The sequence below is a fragment of the Homo sapiens genome, chromosome 8 (genome assembly GCF_000001405.40).
Source record: "Homo sapiens chromosome 8, GRCh38.p14 Primary Assembly".
In the NCBI taxonomy this organism is placed as follows: domain Eukaryota; kingdom Metazoa; phylum Chordata; class Mammalia; order Primates; family Hominidae; genus Homo; species Homo sapiens.
In genome coordinates, this window is record NC_000008.11 from 88,697,895 (window position 1) to 88,718,299 (window position 20,405).

Consider the following 20,405-nt stretch of genomic DNA (forward strand, 5'->3'; position numbering starts at 1 on the left):
ACAGAATGTTAAAAACCCCAAACCACTAACTTGGGAAATATTCAAATTAGAATATATTGCAGTCAAATGCAAGCATCAGTTAGGATACTGCAGCTTGTGTTATCATTAACATGTACACAAAGAAGGTAAAAATTACAATCTAGAGTCACATTAATTGCTAATATAGGCATCTTGAAACAATGGAAAAACTGAGAAGAGTGGAAAACTTTCCTGAAAATAAAGAGAAATGCTCTGAAATGGGACCAACTGAAGGTGGTACAAATGCTGTAGGATGCCCAAGGTCACACCTAGAATACAGCCTAGATCAAAACAGACCACCTGTTTCTGGGTCTAGTGTAATTTCCCTGACCCAGTGGATGCTGGGCATTTTATTTTATCCATTTTTTTTTTCATATTTCATGTAACATTTTTTAGTCAAAATTCCATAATAATTTGCCCTGTAAGGCTTCAGGAAAACTTGTGCTTTTGCAGATTATCTGACTTTTCTATACTGGAGTGAGAATGATGCTCTTTCCAGATTTATATACTGCAAGTGGAAGCCAAAAATTCCCACAGAAGTTAATTTTCATATTCGCCTTTTAACATACACACCTTATCATCTTCAGTCATATCAATTTTTTAAATGTCAACAAGAAACATTAAGGATTCATGGATATTTTCTTGATAAATAAACCCAAGTCTGAAAGAAGCTTGACTTTAAAATATAAGACAGAAAGCACAGTATCTTTGGGATATATGATAAAATTTATTTTGGCCTTTAACTATGTGCACAATTACCTGTTTCTTTAACTTAGTCTCCACAAAAGGCAGCTCAATTCAGTTTTACTCTCCTACATAAAGCAAAGTTTGTGTTTTTATTTTTACTGTACAATGTTTCTTTTTCTCTTCCAAAACAACAGCTGCTTGGGGGTCACCTTGAGCCTTAAGGAGAGTTAATATGATTGTATGTGTGACGTATTTCACTAATATTTTATCACTCACCTGCACAAGTTGTACTTAAAGCTAAGAACAATTTTAAATCTTCTTTATGCTAATAAAAACAAAACACATTTCATAAATTAGTTATTAATTTTCCTTGGTATGCAATCATATTAACCATGCTATTGCAATAAACCCTGTTTTATTACATTATTGCTGGTATGAAAGTACATTCATTTTAGAGAATTAATCTTTTCTGTATAGTCAAAATTTGCAACTACATATTTTAGTGATAGATTTAAATCATACAGATAAACATCCTTTAAAACTCACTTCAGTCATTCATTGAATATGAAGATTTAAAACCAAACTCCAAGACTGAGAGGAGTTTGCCATAATTTTAGTCTGCCTTTTTCAGTGAAAACCAGCAAATATAAGGGCCTAATTTTAAATATTTGAGGTTTAATATTATGCTACACCTTTGTCAATGAACTAGGTAAGACATTTCTGGAATCTGGTTTAAAAAGACTGAGTATTCATACAGGTTTCTCATATGTATAGGCATAATAATTTTATAAATTTAAAAAGCTCCGATTCTTAAGTGAGCTGTTGGTAAATTCAGTGTAGCTTTATTATATGGGATTTAATAAATAATTTATTTTCCAGATTTAATTTAATGTATGTATATACTTATATTATAAATTTATTTATACTTGTATTATGTTTATCCTTAAATTTATAATACATAAAATATAGATTTATATAATACATTATTCATAAAAATAAATTAAATATTAAATGTATTTTCTATAGCAGTTATTCTCTCATTGACACCAAAATGAGTTAGAAGTGTAAATGGAGTAAATGCATGGACACAACAAAAAATGGGAATTTTGTTTTAAAAATATTACTATCACTCTTTCAAATGTCACAATAACACATCTAGTTTAATCAAAATTTCTACCTTTTTGTTTACCAATTTATAATCAACTGGCATTTATTGCCTAATACTAGGTCAAAGCATTATTCTAAAGCCATCTACTTTGCCAATAATATATTATTTCTTAATTGATTGCTTAATACATGAATTCATTTATCCAACTAATAGAGATAGAAAAATTACTCACTTATTGTTCATTTTCTAGAAATTGTAATCATGAAGAGAAAGTTCATTTTCTTAAATAAATCACAATCAAGAAGAGGAGACAGATATGTTAGTAACTAGTTGTAAGATAGTGATGAATATCGATCACATATGTATGTGACTCTTCTTGTCTGATATGGTTTGACTGTATCCCCACTCAATTCTCATCTCGAACTGAAGTTCCCATAATCCTCCTGTGTTGTGGGAGGGACCTGGTGGGAGGTAATTCAATTATGGGGGTGGTTACTCCCATGTTGCTGTTCTCATGATAGTGAGTGAGTTCTCACAAGATCTGATGGTTTTATAAGAGACTTTTCCCTTCCTTTGCTCTGCAGTTCCCCTTGCTGCTGCCATGTGAAGAAGGACATGTTTGCTTCCCCTTCTGCCATCATTGTAAGTTTCCTAAGGCCTCCCTACCCCTGAGGAACTGTGAGTAAATTAAACCTCTTTCCTGGCTGGGCACGGTGGCTCATGCCTGTAATCCTAGTCCTTTGAGAGTCCTAGGTGGGCAGATTGCCTGAGCTCAGGAGTTCGAGACCAGCCTGGGCAACATGATGAAACCCCATCTACTAAAAATACAAAAAGTTAGCCAGGTGTGATGGCATGCACCTGTAGCCCCAGCTACTCAGGAGGCTGAGCCATGAAAATTGCTCAAACCCAGGAGGCAGAGGTTGCTGTGAGCCGAGATTGTGCCACTGTACTACAGCCTGGGCAACAGAGCAAGACTGTCTCAAAAAAAAATATCATTTTTCTTTTATAAATTACCCAGTCTTCGGTATGTCTTTATTAACAGCATGAGAATGAACTAGTAGACGGTCCTTCCACTTAATGCAGTTGGGGATGTAAAACTAATATAAAGAAATTGTCTAAGACCTCTCAAGAGTGTAACCAGGATTTATTGAGAGAAAGATACACTGAGAGGTAACTTTTTTAATCCCCTTTGATTGAAAGAGAAAAGTTTTAGAATCTGACAGATTTCAATTTGAATCCTGGCTGTGATATTTATTTGCTATATTATATTTCTGTTTGTTTATACATAAAATAAGCATAATATAAGGCTATTTTTAAAGAAATAAATAACATGTAAATTATAGCATTATAATCCATAAATACTGCTCCCTCCCTTCTTCAGTCCTTCTTTCTGACCGTAAGTACAATTATATTCAAACAAAGAAGAGCTGGGAGGTACAGACAAGGAATAATGAATTACCAAAAACACCTTCATAAAAACAGAACAATTTGGATTCTTCTTAAAATACAAGTAGGCTTTTGATTGATAAAGGAGAGACTGACAACTCCAATTCTGGGTGCAAGACATTAATAAAGACCTAAAAACAAAATGTAGAATAAGAAGCAGGTATTTTTAGAATAAAAATCAGAATAAGCAGGTTGTCTTCAGGGACTGTGAAAAGAGTCACATAAATGAAATGAAACTGCATATTGAGGAAGAATAGACAATTAGTTTGAAAGCTAGGAAAGAGCTTTGTGCCAGCTACTAGGGGAATCCGAGGTTGTTGTAGGCTCTTGAGTAGGGAATGATAAATTAAAGAGGAAATTATGAGGTAAAATGGATTTGAAGAGGGACCTGCTGGAAGACTGATGGTTTTCTATGATTAAAATGAGGCAGCCTGATTTTGTGTGAAGACAATGGGAAAGGAAAATCAAGGGAAAATCTGAGAGAAATCTCTCTCTCTCTCTCTCTCTCTCTCTCTCTCTCTGTGTGTGTGTGTGTGTGTGTGTGTGTGTGTTTGCGTGTAGGATACAAGAGACGAAGAAAAGTGGGAAGGATACAGAACAATACAGCAGTATAATAGGGTAGTATTAATATCAGAAATAAATACCAGATCATAGGTGACATAGTAAAGCATCAAATGAAGAGTTAGGATTTGACAGGCTGAGTTTGAATTTGTAGGTCAGTATGTTATATATAATTTTCTGGGTCTATCTGTATATGCCCATTTTGTTTGACACATACTTAGGAAATGCTTAAGGTTAGTTCTGATGGGATGACTCAAGTAAAATGCCTTTCTCTCTTTCTGCATGGTTCAATTCCATGTATTTATACGAAATGCAAATGTGGGCAATGAAACCAAGGAGAGGTTTTCTGTATGTTTCCGGGAATGAGTGAAGTGCTGACTGATAATGGCAACATTATAGAGCAATAAATAAAACAACCCTCAGCATAGAGCTGGAAATGTGGACAGGAGAGGGGAGATATCTAAAGATCCCATGTCTTGACTTTGATATCTTCATTGAATTCATGTATTAACAAACCTCAATATATCTTTGTAAACTAATAATTGCTTATTGTGTATTTTGTTGCTTTTTTTTTTCGGTATGAAGGCCACAGTTGAACAAAAAGTTTAGCACAATTTTTAAAACTGTATTTTATTATTTCCCCTTTCTACTATGTCATTCACTTCTGTTTTCCTTGCCTCAGTAGTAGGCACTCCATTATATTCAATGAATATTCTTCCAATTGTTCTTCCAACTATTATTTTAGAAATATGTGTACTTCAGAGAAAAGGTTGGGTGTACTTTTTAAATGTTCTTGTTTAAAAATAAGTTTCATTATGTATATTTAAGGTTTATAACATGATGTTTGGAGTACGTATGTATATACAGTAAAAAGATTACTATGGTGAAGCAAATTAACATATCTATCATCTCACATAGTTACTTGTTCCTTTTTGTTTCTGTGGCAAGAGCAGCTAAGATCTGCTTATTTAGCATGAATCCCATATATGCTACAATTTCATTACCTATAGTCCTCAAGTAGTACATTAAATCTCTGGAATTGTTTGTCTTACATATCTGCTACTTTGTACCTCAGACCCAAATCCATTCCACCCTCTCCACTCCTGATAACCACTGTTTTGCTCTCTGTGTATCTATTTTTAATTTTTTAAAAGATTGCATATATCAGTGAAACAATGCAATATCTCTCCTTCTGTCTCTGGGTTATTTCACTTAGCATAATGTTCTCCAGCCCCATCCATGTTGTGGAAAATGGCAAGAGCTCAGTCTTTTTTAAGGCTGAATCGTATTCCATTCTATATACACACCACTGTTTCTTATTTGTCCATTGATGGATATTTAAGTTGTTTCCATATTTTGGCTATTGTGAATAATGCTGTTATGAACACAGGAGTGCAGATAACTTTATGAGATGGCAATTTAATTTCCTTTGAGTATATGCCCAGAAAAGAGATTGCTGGGGCCATGTAGTAGTTCTATTTTAGATTTATTTAGAAATTTCCATAGCGTTTTACATAATAGCTGTACAAATCTACATTTTCACCAACAATATACAAGAGTTCCCTTTTCTTCACATCCTGGCCAATATTTGTTATTTTTTGATCTTTTGATAATAGCCATCTTACTGTGTGTCCTAATTTTCATAATGATATTTTATGGTGACTTTCAGTTTTAACCATGATATGTAGACAACTTTAGAAGTTGTCACTTACATCCTTACAGAAAAATAAAGCTGGACAAACTAAAAAATCAATGACTTTTCTTGGATGTATCAGAAAACTGGGTTTTCAGGGCAAACCACCTCCCCCAAATCTGTATAGATAGGGGAATTAATAAAATCATAGGAAATATCTGCTTTCCTAGAGAAGAAGGTGTTATAGCTAAAAACTGGGAGGAATAGGGCCGGGCACGGTGGCTTATGCCTGTAATCCCAGCACTTTGGGAGGCCGAGGCGGGCGGATCACGAGGTCAGGAGATCAAGACCATCCTGGCTAACACGGTGAAACCCTTTCTCTACTAAAAATACAAAAAATATAGCTGGGCGTGGTGGCATGCATAACATGTCTACCCAAAGATTATTGAATACTCTAAAAGTACACCATTGTTATTACATTATTTACCCTTTATTGGGATTCAGACTTTGTAAAGTTATATGTTCAGTGGTTGACTTCTCTTCAGTAAAAAAGATAACTAAAAAGGTTTTCATTGCCCAGAAAGATGATGAATAAGTTTTCTCTTAGAAAACGTATTTCAGCATTTCTTTTGTTGAATGTTTATATATAAAACTCCATTTATTGAATTTTTCTTTCAACAAGCTTTACTATGTTGCTGTTTCTCTTATTTGTGAGTTAAGACATTTTTAACACATGTTTACCATATATTTGGGTTGTGTGTATAAGAATTATATTTTGAACTAATTGAAAATTACACTTTGATGGCTGGGATCACAATGATGAAGGTGAAATGAGTGAAGAGTTAATAGACCAATGATTAGAAATAGGATTACAGTTCTTGGTAAAAGCTTATTGACCTCCCCACAAAAACAAACAAACAAACAACCTAATAAGACCAGTTTATATCTGTCACTAGTCCGAGGAGAAGATGACATTATTACCTTTACAGCAGAGACTAATGTGGTCATATAAATAATGAAGTATTTAAAGACTCCTCTCTACCATATATACATATGCTATCTTGAAAATAAGCATAGTGAAAATCTCAGACTTAACATTGGTAGAACAATGAAAGTAGGTCTGGGTCATCAGAAGAGACTGCTTAAATTACTGGAATGGAATGAGTTAACTGAAGTGGACCAAATTTAATTTTCTTGAGTTATCCAGCTGGGGATGGTGGTGCTTATGATAAATATTAGATTAGTTATAGAAAAATTAAATCTTTGTTTATTTGAACAGCTAATGCTTTGGGATATAACAGAAAAACCATATGGAGAAACAAAGATAAGTCTCAACTAAAGGGAATAAAAAACAAGCTGTAGTGTAACCATTAGTTAATTCAAATAAAAATTATTTATTGAGCACATACATCAGGCAGGACATTGTGCTTTTTGCTGTACAACAGAGATTAATGAGACCTCTAGCTTTCAACTAAGGAAATCTATTGTAGGAGATGTTCATGTAAACACAGAAATTAATATGCAGTGCCTTGATAGAATTATGTATTAAGCAGAAAATGAGGAGTGATTAATTTTGTCACAATACAGTAATAAGAAAAGCCTTCCTCAACACGGTGAGGTATGAACTGATTTTTAAATAATGACTAGGCATATTTTAGAAAAATAGGGCACAGGGTAAGGAGAAAATATAAGACCAAGGGTGTCACCAATACTCGAATTTATTCCCCAGTAACTATTTCTCCTACAGGTCTTGGGTAAGTGTGAAAAGGAAAAAAGGGCTTTTTATTCACAGCATCTTAGACTTTTTATAAATTACTAGTGACTAGACTGTGGGGACCAGACAATTGCACTGCTTAGGTCCAAGTCACACAGCAAGACTTTCACAGAGAGTTTATATGATATTACCTTTAATAGATTCACTCCAGTTCTGTCTCCTCCCCTAATCCTGAGAACTGCCTCCAATAAAGGACAAGAGGAAAAGTTCTCAATAAATAGCAGTTCCGATTACTATTATATTCCATGATTTTTGTCATCACAGTGTTTAAAGTCATACTTTGAACATTACTATTCAAAGTATACTACATACATGTGTTAGTGTTGATAGGTTACTATAAAAAGTAGCATTTGACATTGTCAGAATCCATATCCTATACAACACCAACAGTGAATCCTAATATAAACTATAGACTTTGGATGATAGTGACATGTCAATGCAGGTTCGTTGATTGTAACAAATATACCACTCTTATCTGCGATATTTAGTTATATTTGGTTTGGGATGCTGTATGTGTGTGGAGTCAGGAGTTATTCGGGAACTCTCTGTACTTTCCACTCAACTTTGTTGTGAACTTGAAACTGCTCTAAAATATAAAGTCTTGAATAAACACAGAAGAAAAAAAAGGAATAGAAGAAAACATAAAAACAAATGGTAGATATATATAAAACAATTAATGCTACCAAGAAAACAAAATTGTAGAAAATTAAAATAATGAGCAATTAAATGCAGGTAATGAATCTATTCCACCTTCCTCCACCCCTCAGATCCAGGTAAGAAGAAAAGCACCAGTATGGGCTGGAAGATCATATTTCTTCCAAAGATCTCATGCAGCCTTTCCACACGGGGTTATATACAGAGTGAAGATAATGCAAAGACGACAAAAAAGAGAGCTCTCTTTTTTAATCAGTTTTCAGGTTTTTAAAACTAAATACCTAAAGCTCCACCTCTAGCTCTGTGGCCTCATGGCATTTTTGAGCTTAATGTATATGCTTACTCTTCATAATTAGGGTGAAAGAAATGTGAAGTTACTAGAATAATAGCATTTAGGAGACTGTTAGCTTCTCGAGTTGCTGCAAGACGCTCTTCACCATCCACCCACAAAGCCTTATGCAGGCTCCTATTCTGGTGAGTCAGTTTGAACCATGTAAAGTTGGGGAATTTCTTCTGGCTTCTTTGACTCCTTTCCAAAGACCTTTAGCATTCTATAATTTCTGTGGCAAGAAAGATGAAATACAAGTAAAAAGACATTTTCTTTTCAAAGCCTAGAGCAACAAGCTAAATACACCAGTTAAATTCTCTTTTTCTCTGGGCCCTATCCTAGAATCTCTGGTCTTCCCAGGACAAAGTGCCCAACTAAGTAAAAGGCTATTCATCACAAACTCATTGTGCCCACTAATCACATAGAATTTTTAATACAAAGAAGCAATCTACAGAGGTAAGCCATGGAAAAGTACCAGCCCCTTGAATATAACAGCTTTCAACCTCTTTGCCTCTCATACCAGTGACTCCTCCCAGCCCTGTAATCAGATACTTGCTTCAGCCTGATTAATACCTTTGAGCTAATGAAGAATAAAGGAAATGCTGCCCTGAGCCCTCATTAGGCCACAGTTTGGAGTTGATAGACTTAAATTCTATTGCTGTTTCCTCAAGAAGCATCCTTGTCATTTAAGCATATAGTTATATCATTATAAATAAACTAAATGTATTTAATCTATTTAATTGGAAATTGTAAATGTTTATTAAGCCATAAATTTGCCTGAAGTTTACTGTGGCTCTAAGAAACAGCACATATATAAAACATATGCCTTATTATTTGCAATTTCATTAAATAGTTCTTAAAATGTGTTATGAGTCTGGGTAATTTTGCATAATCTTAATTTGCAGCATTGTTCCTTCACATTTTTTTCCAGTTATTTTTCTGCATAAGCCAATAGGCCAAAATATTTTTCAAAATAAATTCTAGAAATGAGAATTTCTAAAATCATAAAGACTGTGGCATTTTTTTCATTTTGATTGTAATTATCTGTTACTATAGTAGAACAGAAGAGGTAACATTGCATATAGATTGCTTTAACTTTTAATGAGCTTATGTCTCATCAACATTTTATTAACCTAGTAAACATAAAATAACGTCTTAGATTAGTATTTTTGATGATAACAAAATCTAAATTATAAAGCATATCTAGATGTAGTGGCAGATGAGCTTTCTGAGCATATATTCATTATTGAAATTCAAGAATATTTCTCCCAAAATATTTTTTTGCAAAATAATGTAATGCTGTAATGTGTTTGATGCCTCAAGCAAAGAAACATATTGCTTCAGAAAAACTAGATTTTATTTGGGTTTCAGCAGTCCTTAGAATGCATTGATTTGTATGCTGTTTATGCTTCAAAATCAGCCCATGAACTTTATTCCTCTGTAGTTGACATCACTACTGGCACACTCTTCCTCTGTGCTTCTGTTCTCATTGCATATAGAAATGAAAGGGGTTGGAAAAAAATGCTAGGAAGCAAATTGTTGTTAGGAGAACATGTAATTTCTTTTAGCACTCTCTTTGCTAAGTTTAAAATAATAAATAATACGTCTTAGTTTTTCATCTTCTCAGGGAAATGTGTGGCTTTCAACATTTTTCTCAAAGAAATCTAATTCATGGCTTAGAAGAAGAAAATCTCCCCTTCAAATATTTTCATATTTTATTATTTTTATCTTAGAAAATAGGACTAATCATTTTTTTACAAAAGTTTAGTGCTCATCCAATTTCATGGGGTGATTGGTTCATATCACAGATGTAAAAATGCAAGTGTTGGTTATTTCATCTTTTCTAAAAATACAAACCACTGTAGGTCAGAGTAATGGCATTTGGCTTATCTCTCCAACACAAATATAACTTGGGGACCACTGATGCATTTAAGGATGGAGGTACCAATTCCTTATGTAAAACCCTAAAGTTATTACTGACTTCTTTCTATTGTATTTCCTCTAAATAAGTATTACCAACATTCACCAGAGTGCTATTTTTTTAAATTAAAAAGTACAGGTATTACTTCTTATGCTCCACACCTTTAAAGATTAATTCATTTATCAAAAATCACGGTACTTATGACTGATAATAAAGCCATACCAAATCATGTTTTATTTATTGCAACTTATTTTACTAACGATTTCTATGTAATAGACTGGACAAAAACATTAATAAATGTTATGACATCTCATGTTTACTAAGTTAATGACTGTGTAATTGATGAGAATTTAGTCTGCATACCGTGTTTGCACTAATAAAACAATGTAATGATTATAATATAATTATATATATTTTTATTAGACACTTACTTTCTGCCATTCAATTAAATGTTTTACCCTGCACATTGTTGTAGATATTTTGATTTCTTAGAACTCTTAATTACTCCTCCCCCTTGCTATGCTTTACTGTGGGTAGAATATACCTATCTTCCTCACTGATTCGGGCTTGGCCATGTGACTGCTGTGGCTAATTGAATATGAGAAGATGTGACATTATGCCAAGTCCCAGCAGAGGCATTAAAAAATACATTTGTTTTATTTTTCTTCATCTCCCCTTCTTCTGCTTTCTACCTTGAGAACACATGTTCTGGATAGTGACTACTCATTAAGCTGGGGTTCTAGAGCGAGAAGACAAATGAAGCCTAGCTGAGCCCATTTGAATTAATCTGAGCAAACAGAATTTTTTTTAGGTTAAGTCTCTGATATTTTGACTGCTTGGCGTGCTAAGTTAAATAACATAGAAATTTATACTAGAAATTAAATGATGATATAATAAAAAAATCTAAAAATATATGTCTCTAGATTTGAACTTGAGACAGAGTAGATGTGGGACTTGGCCCCACTCCCACTAATGTATTTTTTCATGCATACCCACTAACCATCAGACCTTGCACCATCATCCCCATACTCTCTGAGATACTGCAAGTTATTAGAAAGATAGGATAAACAACATTCCATCACAAAGCTTACCCAGGACAGTCGACCCTACCACCCACATGCACACAAGATGAGGAATGTGACTGATCATAACCTTCCCCTAGGGGCAAGGTCCTGATCCTTGCTCAGGGTGGATCTTATTTGTCATTTTCTGATCATGCAGTGTATGTGTTAGTATGATTTCTTACTGTGCCTGTGCACCTGGCACTCCACTCTGCACCTGTAACGATGCTTGCTTACCTCATAGGTTATTCATGTTAGGCTCCTGAAAACACCACAAGGACCTACCCTCCGGGAGCCAGCCAGAGAACCCTTCTTCCTGCACTGTCTCCGTTATGCCCAACATTTCTGGGCATAAGTTTTAATAAACCTTACCTGGGAAAAGTTTGTTTGGCCTCGTGTTAATTGCTATTATATGGAGAGCCAAGAATCTCGAACCAGTAAGAGTTGTGAAGTCACCCTCAATATTTCCCAAGTCTTCAAAGGAATTGAGACACTATAATCATTACCCAGGACTCCACGCTTGTCAAATTTGTTGATGACCTCCTACTTTGCAACCAAACTGAATAGAATGCTTGTATAGACTCCCTAATCCTTCTGAAGGTACTGACTGAGCAAGGCTACAAAGCCTCCAAATCTAAATGTCCATGGGTACAGACAACTGACTTATTTAGGCCATAAAGCATCTCGGAGCACTAAAAAACTCACAGTAAAATATCTTGAAGGAATTTTGACAATCTTTTCTTAAGAAGAAAGAAAAAAAACCAGAAATTTTTAGAGGCAGCTGGTTATTGCCATCAATGGATTCTTAATTTTGCCATCCTAGCCAAGCCTTTATATGTTTTCCTCTCAGGTATAACCTCAGAACCCCTTTTATGGCCCTCTGAGACACTGGCCTCCTTTGAAGCATTAAAATAAGCATTATCTACACCCCCAGCTCTCAGTTTATCCAATTTTGACAAACCTTTTCAACAATATTGCCATGAAATTAATGAGATTGTTGCTAGTATTCTAGAACAGCCGTTTGTCTCTCAATTACTTTTTATGGCATATTTCTTATTTCGATCAACCCTGTGACATCAGGCATGCCTCCATGCCTGTGTGCGAAAGCCACAGCTGCCACCCTAATGGAAAAAGCCTTTATTCTTACATTAGGCCTCCCTACTCACCTCTATGTTACCCTTGATGTGTCAGCGCTCTTACAAGCTCATAAAACACAGCACCCTCTTTATACAATGGCAGACCACTGATGAACAGGACCTATTAACAATTCTCTCTCTATTGTATCATTGTAACACCCTGAACCGTGCTATTCTATTACTCCTCCTTGATGATGGACAGCCCATTCTATTCTACGTGATTCCTTTGTAGCTATATAAATGGTCTCAAAACTATGATTTTTTAGACATCTTCTTAGACAGTCCAGACTTCTGTTTTGTCATGGCTGTCAAGCAGAATTCTCACCGATACATAGTAACTGACTGTGCCATGGTTTCCTTAAATGAAACACTTGAGACAAATTCTGCCTTCTATATAATCAGCCTGAACCACTGAGTCTAGATCTTACACGAGCCTTGGCAAAGAGAAAACTGACACTATTTACACTTGAGATGTGCTTTGGACTCTGCCATACTGTTGGCTGTATTGAAAAGTCCCGTTTCTGACCTCTGCTGGTACCCCTATTGCCAATGGCCATGTAATTGTTAACCTATTACGCCTATTCATCTTCTAATTGAGGTTGCTTTTGTTTATTGTTGGCACATGCCAAGGAGACTGACACTGTATCTCTGGTAGACAATACGTCTGACAAAGCTGCCAAACATGAACCCCCAACTCTGGCAATAACCCATTTTTTAACCCAGCTTACAACCCTGCCTTTAACACTTACTGACGTCAATAATATTTGGCAGATACCCTACAATGAAAAAAAAGGCTGCAAGAAGATTCCAGACAATTGTTAGAAGGATTATACGTTGGACCAAATGGACTTCCTATAGTCCTTTATCTTTTATTGTTTTGTGCTTCTATTTATTGCCCATCAAATGGAATATATGTGTAAAGAAGGGCAAATCAAAGAGGTAAATGACAGTGATTTTGCCCTGGAATCCACAGAATTTCTGATCAAATTATTTACCAATGTATTACTTGTAAATCTTATGATATTTCTGGATGTAAGTAGCATACCCCATGAAATCCTCTGAGACCCACATTCCCTTTGCAACACTCCTGGTGGACTTTATAGATTTCCCTCAGGATTCAGGTTATTCTCATTATAGGTTGACTATACCTAATCTGAAAATCCAAAATCTGAAATGATACAAATCCAAAACGTTATGAGTGTTGTCATAATGCTCAATGGAAATGCTCATGAAAGCATTTTTTATTTAAGGTCTTTGGATTAAGGATGCTCATCCAGTAAATATGATACAGCTATTCCAGTGTCCAAAACTATCCCAAATCTGAAACACTTCTGGTCCCACCCAAGCATTTCAGATAAGGAATACTCAACTCATAATTGGTGATTACCTGCACAGTTAGTAGATGGACTGAGTACTATCCAACTAGACATGCTGATGCCACATGGTAGTAATGAAAAAAAAAATTGAGATTATTCTTCATTTTGGCATTACTTAATGTATTAAATCAGACCAAGGAACTCACTTAACAACAGAAGTAAATCACATGTTCACAAAAACTCTAGGATAGTCATTAAAATTCTATACTCTTTACCATCCTCAGTCCTCAGAGAGGTGGAATGTGATAATTTAGACAGCAAAAGAACTATAAAATATGTCAGTACAATAGACCTAAGTGGCCAGAAGCATCACCCCTGACCCCAATAAAATCTGGAAAACCCCAAACAAGAGAGATGGATTAACTGCTTTTTGAATAATTTTTGATAGCTTTATGCCTATTAGCATCTCCAAACTTTTTGTTCCTGAAGTGAGTGAGCATTATGGGGACCTGAGTGAAAGGTTCAGTATTATGACTAGATATCTAAAAGAACTATCTCTTGTACTTGGAGCTTACCATTAACAGGCAAAAAAGTCATGGCCATTGTCTACCAACAAGCTTTCTATCCCTTTTGACCAAGCTATCAAGTATACATCAAAATTTTGACAAGAAAGCATACACTGTCATCTTTCTGGGAAGTACCTTGTGAAGCATTGCTGAACACCTACATGGCCATCAAAATAAAAAGAAATATTTCCTGGATTCATGCAAGTCATGCCAAGCTAGACCCAGATCATAATTTCCAGAAAAATTGAAAAGCTATTCTTACAGCTGACTTCAAACCAAGGATTTTCAGGGCCAATTCACAGGGTCCCAAAGCAGATGACAACATAAAGTGGACTATTTTTTCCAATATCTTGGATCAAGAACTACCTTTCCACCTATTTTCCCTTGATATCTTTCTCTTCTCTGACCAAAGGAAAAAAAAGTAAATAAAAACCTTAAAAACCTCTTTGAGCTTTAAACAGAAACCTTCCCCTTTATTTATTGATGGACTGTCTAGAGATTGCTACTTTTTTCTTCTTCTGTTTCTTCACAATGAGATATTTTCTAAACTGTGTCTTGCTTCAACTAACCCTTATGGCTTTTTTTGACAATTCTAGCATAAATCCAGCACCTACTCGCGCCAGTCTTCTAAACACTGGCAACTTTCATCAATCCGAATTTTGGTTATGTCAACATATCGGTATACAGAAGAAGCTAACTAGTTTTTGTTTCTGCCAATGCAAACACCTGGTGGACACAGACTGGACTATGGATGTACAAAAGGGTATGGTATCTACAAACAGGAAGACAAAAATCATGCCACCTCTCTTTCTGGTAAACTGATTTGGCGCTTGGAAAATTCCATGGAAGCTCAAGTTCTATTCTTTGTTCAGGTGATGTTATTGAATGGACAAATTTCCCTTTTCATTGGAAACAGAAATGGTACTGGACCCTTTCTAGGTAAGATACCATGACAACACTGAAATCAAACCATGGGGTAATTTCAAACCCTGCAGAAATGTCATAGATGGTTCTATTACTAACTTTTAAGATACAAGCATTTGTATGGTCACTGGGTGTCACTCTTGGTTTATGGGCCATGCTAGCAGGATCTGGAATAGCTTAGCTGTTTCTCTGATCAGGCTGCTTATTCTAAAAAATCGTATGTGGGTAAACCAAAATTTTTTATTAACTTGGTTAGGTGGTAAAAGTGATTTTCATAACTGCCAAGATCAGGCTGTAGGTCTTCTCTAGGAAATATTTTACAACTTCTTTTGCTCTTACATCCTGATAGAGACACATGTAAATAGAGAAGCACAGATCCAACATAACTGGTGACAGAGGTTGTGAAAGACATCAGATCCCAACTTCGTGAGTCACAGTTTCCCCTCTGACCTTGTTCATGAACAACACTAGTTTCTGCATTTCAAGGGGCAAAAAAGTATATATTAATAAAGTGTTTCTACTTAAATGCTGAGGGCAATGTGAATTTGTATACCTGGCACCCTCCTTCACGGGGAATTGTACGTTAAATGCAAGCTAAATTGCAAATCTGAGCTCCTATGTTCATAAGATAACACCACATGGATGTACTCAATGAGACATCATAGAAAACCCACTTGTGTCTTACAGCTCCAACCTCTATTTAGTGATGAAGACCTTTTTTCCAAGTTTTGAAACATATGATTTAGAAAGAATGATGGTAGATATTTCCAAAGTAATACAACCAATATGCAATAACACGTAAAGTCTCTAGGAGCACTCCAATTGGGAGTTAAAGTTTAGCTTCTGATGCGCTCCAAAATTGTCCCATTCTGGATACACTGAAGTATTCGGAATGAGACAATTTTGGAGCACAACAAAAGGTGGAACTTGAGCAATTATGGGAAAACAATGCTGCTTTTATGTAAATCACACAGGAAAAATTGTGTCAAATTCACACCTTTGGGAAAAAAAGGTTAATATTCTTCATCAAATAAATGAGGCATAGTCTTTAACTAGGCTGACCTATTCCCAAGATGGGGAGACAGGTTCAGTGGGGTATGGGGCATTGTGCTTAGATTTATTATTTTCTGCTTATTCATCCTTGTTCTAATCTATGTTCTTCTCTCCCTTTGCAGATCTCTTGCCTCACAGCTTCTAACCCAAATCTTATTTCTACAGCAACCAACACAGCTTCTCGTTTGTAAAACTTCTCAAGATGTTTCAAAATGGAAGAAATACCAAAACCCACAAAGAATCCTTGAGTTGGTATGGTTATTTTTAGTTGAGGACATTTGAGATTCCACAGATGCAGAAAAGAATCTTCTCAGAGCTTCCTTCTTCTGATTAAAAGCAGCCACTTCTGGGAAATAAGGCTGGCATAAATCCTCTCTTGAGAGTGGCTTTACTCCCAGAAACAAGACCAAGGGTAAATCTACCATAAATCCCCTCTCCAGGGGAGTTTGATGGCCATAAAGAAGATGAAAAGAGTTCTCACACCTGCATAAACAAATGTTATCACAAACTTTCTTATCTCTTGTTTGTTCTCCCAAAAAACTATTTGTCTTTCCTAAAGAAATCCATTTGTTTTCCTTATAGAAGTCTTTTCTCCCGGCTTGCTTCTCCTATTAAGTTAGATATATAAACTTCTAATTTAACTTTTAGGAAACTACTTCTTTTGTAAGCTCTTGTATGCAAATAAACTGTTTTATTCTCTTGTTAATGTGTATTTTCACAGCATATCCTCCACCCAGATCCTGAATTTGAGAGGGTAGAGGAAAAGTTTTCCTCTCCAACACTTTCGTTCTCTGTCAATGGCTTCACTGGATTGCTAGTCTTCCTATTAAAAGCGGCAATTTATTCTTCCAAAGTTAGTTTCTAAATAATATTCCATAGAATTTTCTTTTTAAATAACCAGGTAATACCTACGTTGACATCAAGAGAGCACCATGGTCAGTAATTTTAATACCCCAGGAACATACTTTTAAGTATACATTGTTTTTCAACCAATATTGGAAAGGGAAAGTTCCAAACCATACTAATTGGACCTACATTGAACATGGTAAATTCCTCCTCAAATAGTTGCTAATGGTTTGCTGGGACAGTACTTCCCATCTGTAATAACTCTTAAAATTAAATTACTAATATCTTTGGATTTCTGGATCATCTTTTACTTAATATCCAAAAATAAATTGTGAGGTTTTTTTAAATGCCTGGGTAAAATTCTGAAATAGTAGTTTATTTCAATTTTGATAGCTGCTGAGATTCACACTAGCTTTTCTTCAGTCGACACAGTAAACAATAAAACTTCAGCAAAACTGGAAAATATAAGAACCCCCAATATATAGTCCCCCAAAGGATCCAGCAGGTTATAGAGTCCAAAGCCCTTATTTTATAAATGAGTAAACTGAAGACAAAAGCACCAATGTAGTTGCTTGAAGGTTATAAAATGGCAGGGATACATGTATGTGTATATATATATATATATATAGCTCCTTAAAATGTAGACTTTTGAAAGATCAGAGGATTTGAATATGTTTACATGTCAAGTGATTTTCTAAAGCTTTGGCTACTGAATTGGCTCTGAGTCAGCATGGCCCTTTGCCATATCAAATAAGAAAAATCACAAACAGATGACTAACTTACATAATGCATTTCTTTTGGAGCGAGGTCCTTGGCAACAGGAAAGGGTAATAGTGATTTTAAACATTGACTCTTCAGTGAAGAAGGTCACTGTGTGGTCATGGATGAGGAAAGTAATAAGATAATGTTGATGGCTTTTCTGACTTAGCATGCCTACAAGAAATCAGAATTCTGGGTGATGACACAGTCTGTCTATCTTAAGTAATCTTAACTGGGCATCAGGCCATCAATCTTGAAAACATAGGTTAAAGCTCTTTGAACATTGATTATAACTAAGAGCAGCTGACTTTTTCACTGCACCATAAACCTCTTATGACTCTGACTCATCAGATGATTTGGAAAAGGTGTACTCACTGACAAAGAAAAAGAGAAAATATAGATGAGTTAAGTCACTTTAGTCCCAGAGGAGGACAACTGAGCATTAATAACATTTTAGAATTTATTTTCTGCCTGGGGTCAAATGACCAATTTCAGACAGCATTTCAAATTCTTTTTTTCAGCATGGCAGAGAAAAGTACATCAGAGCCTCACCAGAGCCTGAATACTTTCAACCCAGTTGAATAGTTTATGCAATTAATTATGGCTTTTAATAGAAATGTATTCACTTTTACCTTGAGAGGATGAGAGGACATCCTAGAATATGGGTGAAAGTCCTATAACCAACACCTATGTGATAAATGGATTTACATTAGGTATTTAGTCCCTAACTTGGCATTCTACCTCCTTCATCACCAAATTTTATTTCTTCACCAGTACTCTTTCTCAAACCATTACTCAATGACAATTCAGGCCATATAAACTCAAACTTTTGTGATCTGCATGTCTATGCTTTAAGTTTCACTCTTTACCGTTCTGTCACTTTAATAAATATTGATATAGCATTCCCAACCCAAATTGTACATCCTTTGAAACTTTGACTAAATGGGTAATAATTATGACAATATTTATAATAAATAATTATAAGAGCATATTATCAGCAACTGTATTCCACAAAACTGGATTATAAAGAAAAACTGAAAAATTCCTGAAAACACATAAATTAGTGAAACTGGCTCAAAAAGAGATAGAACATCTCAACAGACCTATACTAACTAAAGAGATTGAATCAATAATTAGAAACCTTCCATCAAAGAAAAGCCCTGGACCAGATGTGTTCACACGTGAATTCTAACAAAGAGTTAAAGAAGAATTAATATGCATCTTTCTTAAACTTTTCCAATAAATGGAAGAGGAGGAAACATTTTCTAATTCATTTTATGAGGCCACCATTACTTGGATACCAAAGCGAGATAATAAAATAACAAGAAAATAAAATTACAGACTAATATCTCTTACAAATATAAATGCAAATATCTATCCTCAATAAAGTATTAGCAAATCTAATCCAACAATATATTCAAAGTATTATTCAGCTCAATCAAGTGGGATTAACAGAGAAAACCAAGGGTGCGTCAATATAGGAAAATCAATCCATGTAATACATCACATAAATAGAATATAGGTAAAAAAGAAACACATGAACATTTCAATAGATGCAGAAGCAGTATTTAACAAAATTGAGGAGAATTTCATGATAAAAACTCTCAGAAAACTTAGAATAGAATAATTCAGCCATATGATAAAGGGCTCTTATGAAAAACACATAGCAAATATAATATTCAGTGGTGAAATGGAAGGCTTTACCCCTAAGAGTAGGAAGAAGACAAGAATGCCCGCTTTCACCACGCTATTAAGCATGGTACTGGAAGGCCCTACCAGAGCTACTACAAAAGAAAAAAAAAAAGAGAGAGAGAAAAAGCATTTATGTTGAAAAAAAAATCAGGTTAAAACCATCTCTATTTATAGATGTCATGGTCTTATACCTAGAAAATCCCAAAGAACCTAGTAGAAATCCCCAATAGCTAATAAATGAATTCAGCAACATTGCAGTATAAAATTCAATAAAGAAAAATCAGTTGAGTGTTTATATGACAACATGACCAACCAAACAGAAAATTAAGAAAGCAATTCTCTTTGCAATAAAGTCTAAAGTAGTTAAATACTGAGGAATAGATCTAACCAGGTAGGTGAAATACTTGTATTTTGAAAGTTATGAATATTGCTGAAAGAAATTAAATAAGACATGAGTAATAAAGATTTGTGTTTATGGACAGGAAGACTTAACATTATTAATGTGTTAATGCCACATAAAGTGATCTACAGATTCAATGCAATCCCTATACAAATTATAACAGGCTTTTTCATAGAAATGGGAAAAATGCCCTCAAATTCATATGGATTTTTAAGGGGCCCCAAATAGTCAATTATATAAAGAAGAAAAATAAAGCTGGAGGACTCACATTTCCTGACTTTGCAATGTACCGTAAAGCCATAGTACTTACAACAGTATGGTGTTGGCATAAAGACAAACATGTAGACTAATAAAATGTAATAGAAAGCACAAAAATAACCCCTGCATACTTAGTCAAATTATCTACAAGTATGCCAAAACCACTCAAAGAATGAAAGGACAATCTTTTCAATAAAAGGTGCTGGAAAAACTATATGTCCACATACAAAAGAATGAATTTGGATCCTTACCTTACAACATATA

At 34.8% G+C, this 20,405-nt stretch overlaps 1 long non-coding RNA gene across 2 annotated transcripts in view; it reads left to right on the plus strand.

Annotated features, from left to right (window-relative positions):
* LOC105375630 (uncharacterized) overlaps window positions 1-20,405 on the plus strand; it is a 559,756-nt gene that overhangs the window by 370,051 nt on the left and 169,300 nt on the right. Inside the window, exon 4 of one of the 2 annotated variants that reach the window (XR_007060998.1) lies at window positions 11,436-16,892. The exons of the other annotated variant lie outside the window; for it this stretch is intronic. This is a non-coding gene — a long non-coding RNA (uncharacterized LOC105375630). Of the gene's footprint in view, window positions 1-11,435; window positions 16,893-20,405 lie in introns of those variants that run through there. 2 annotated transcript variants of the gene reach the window in all.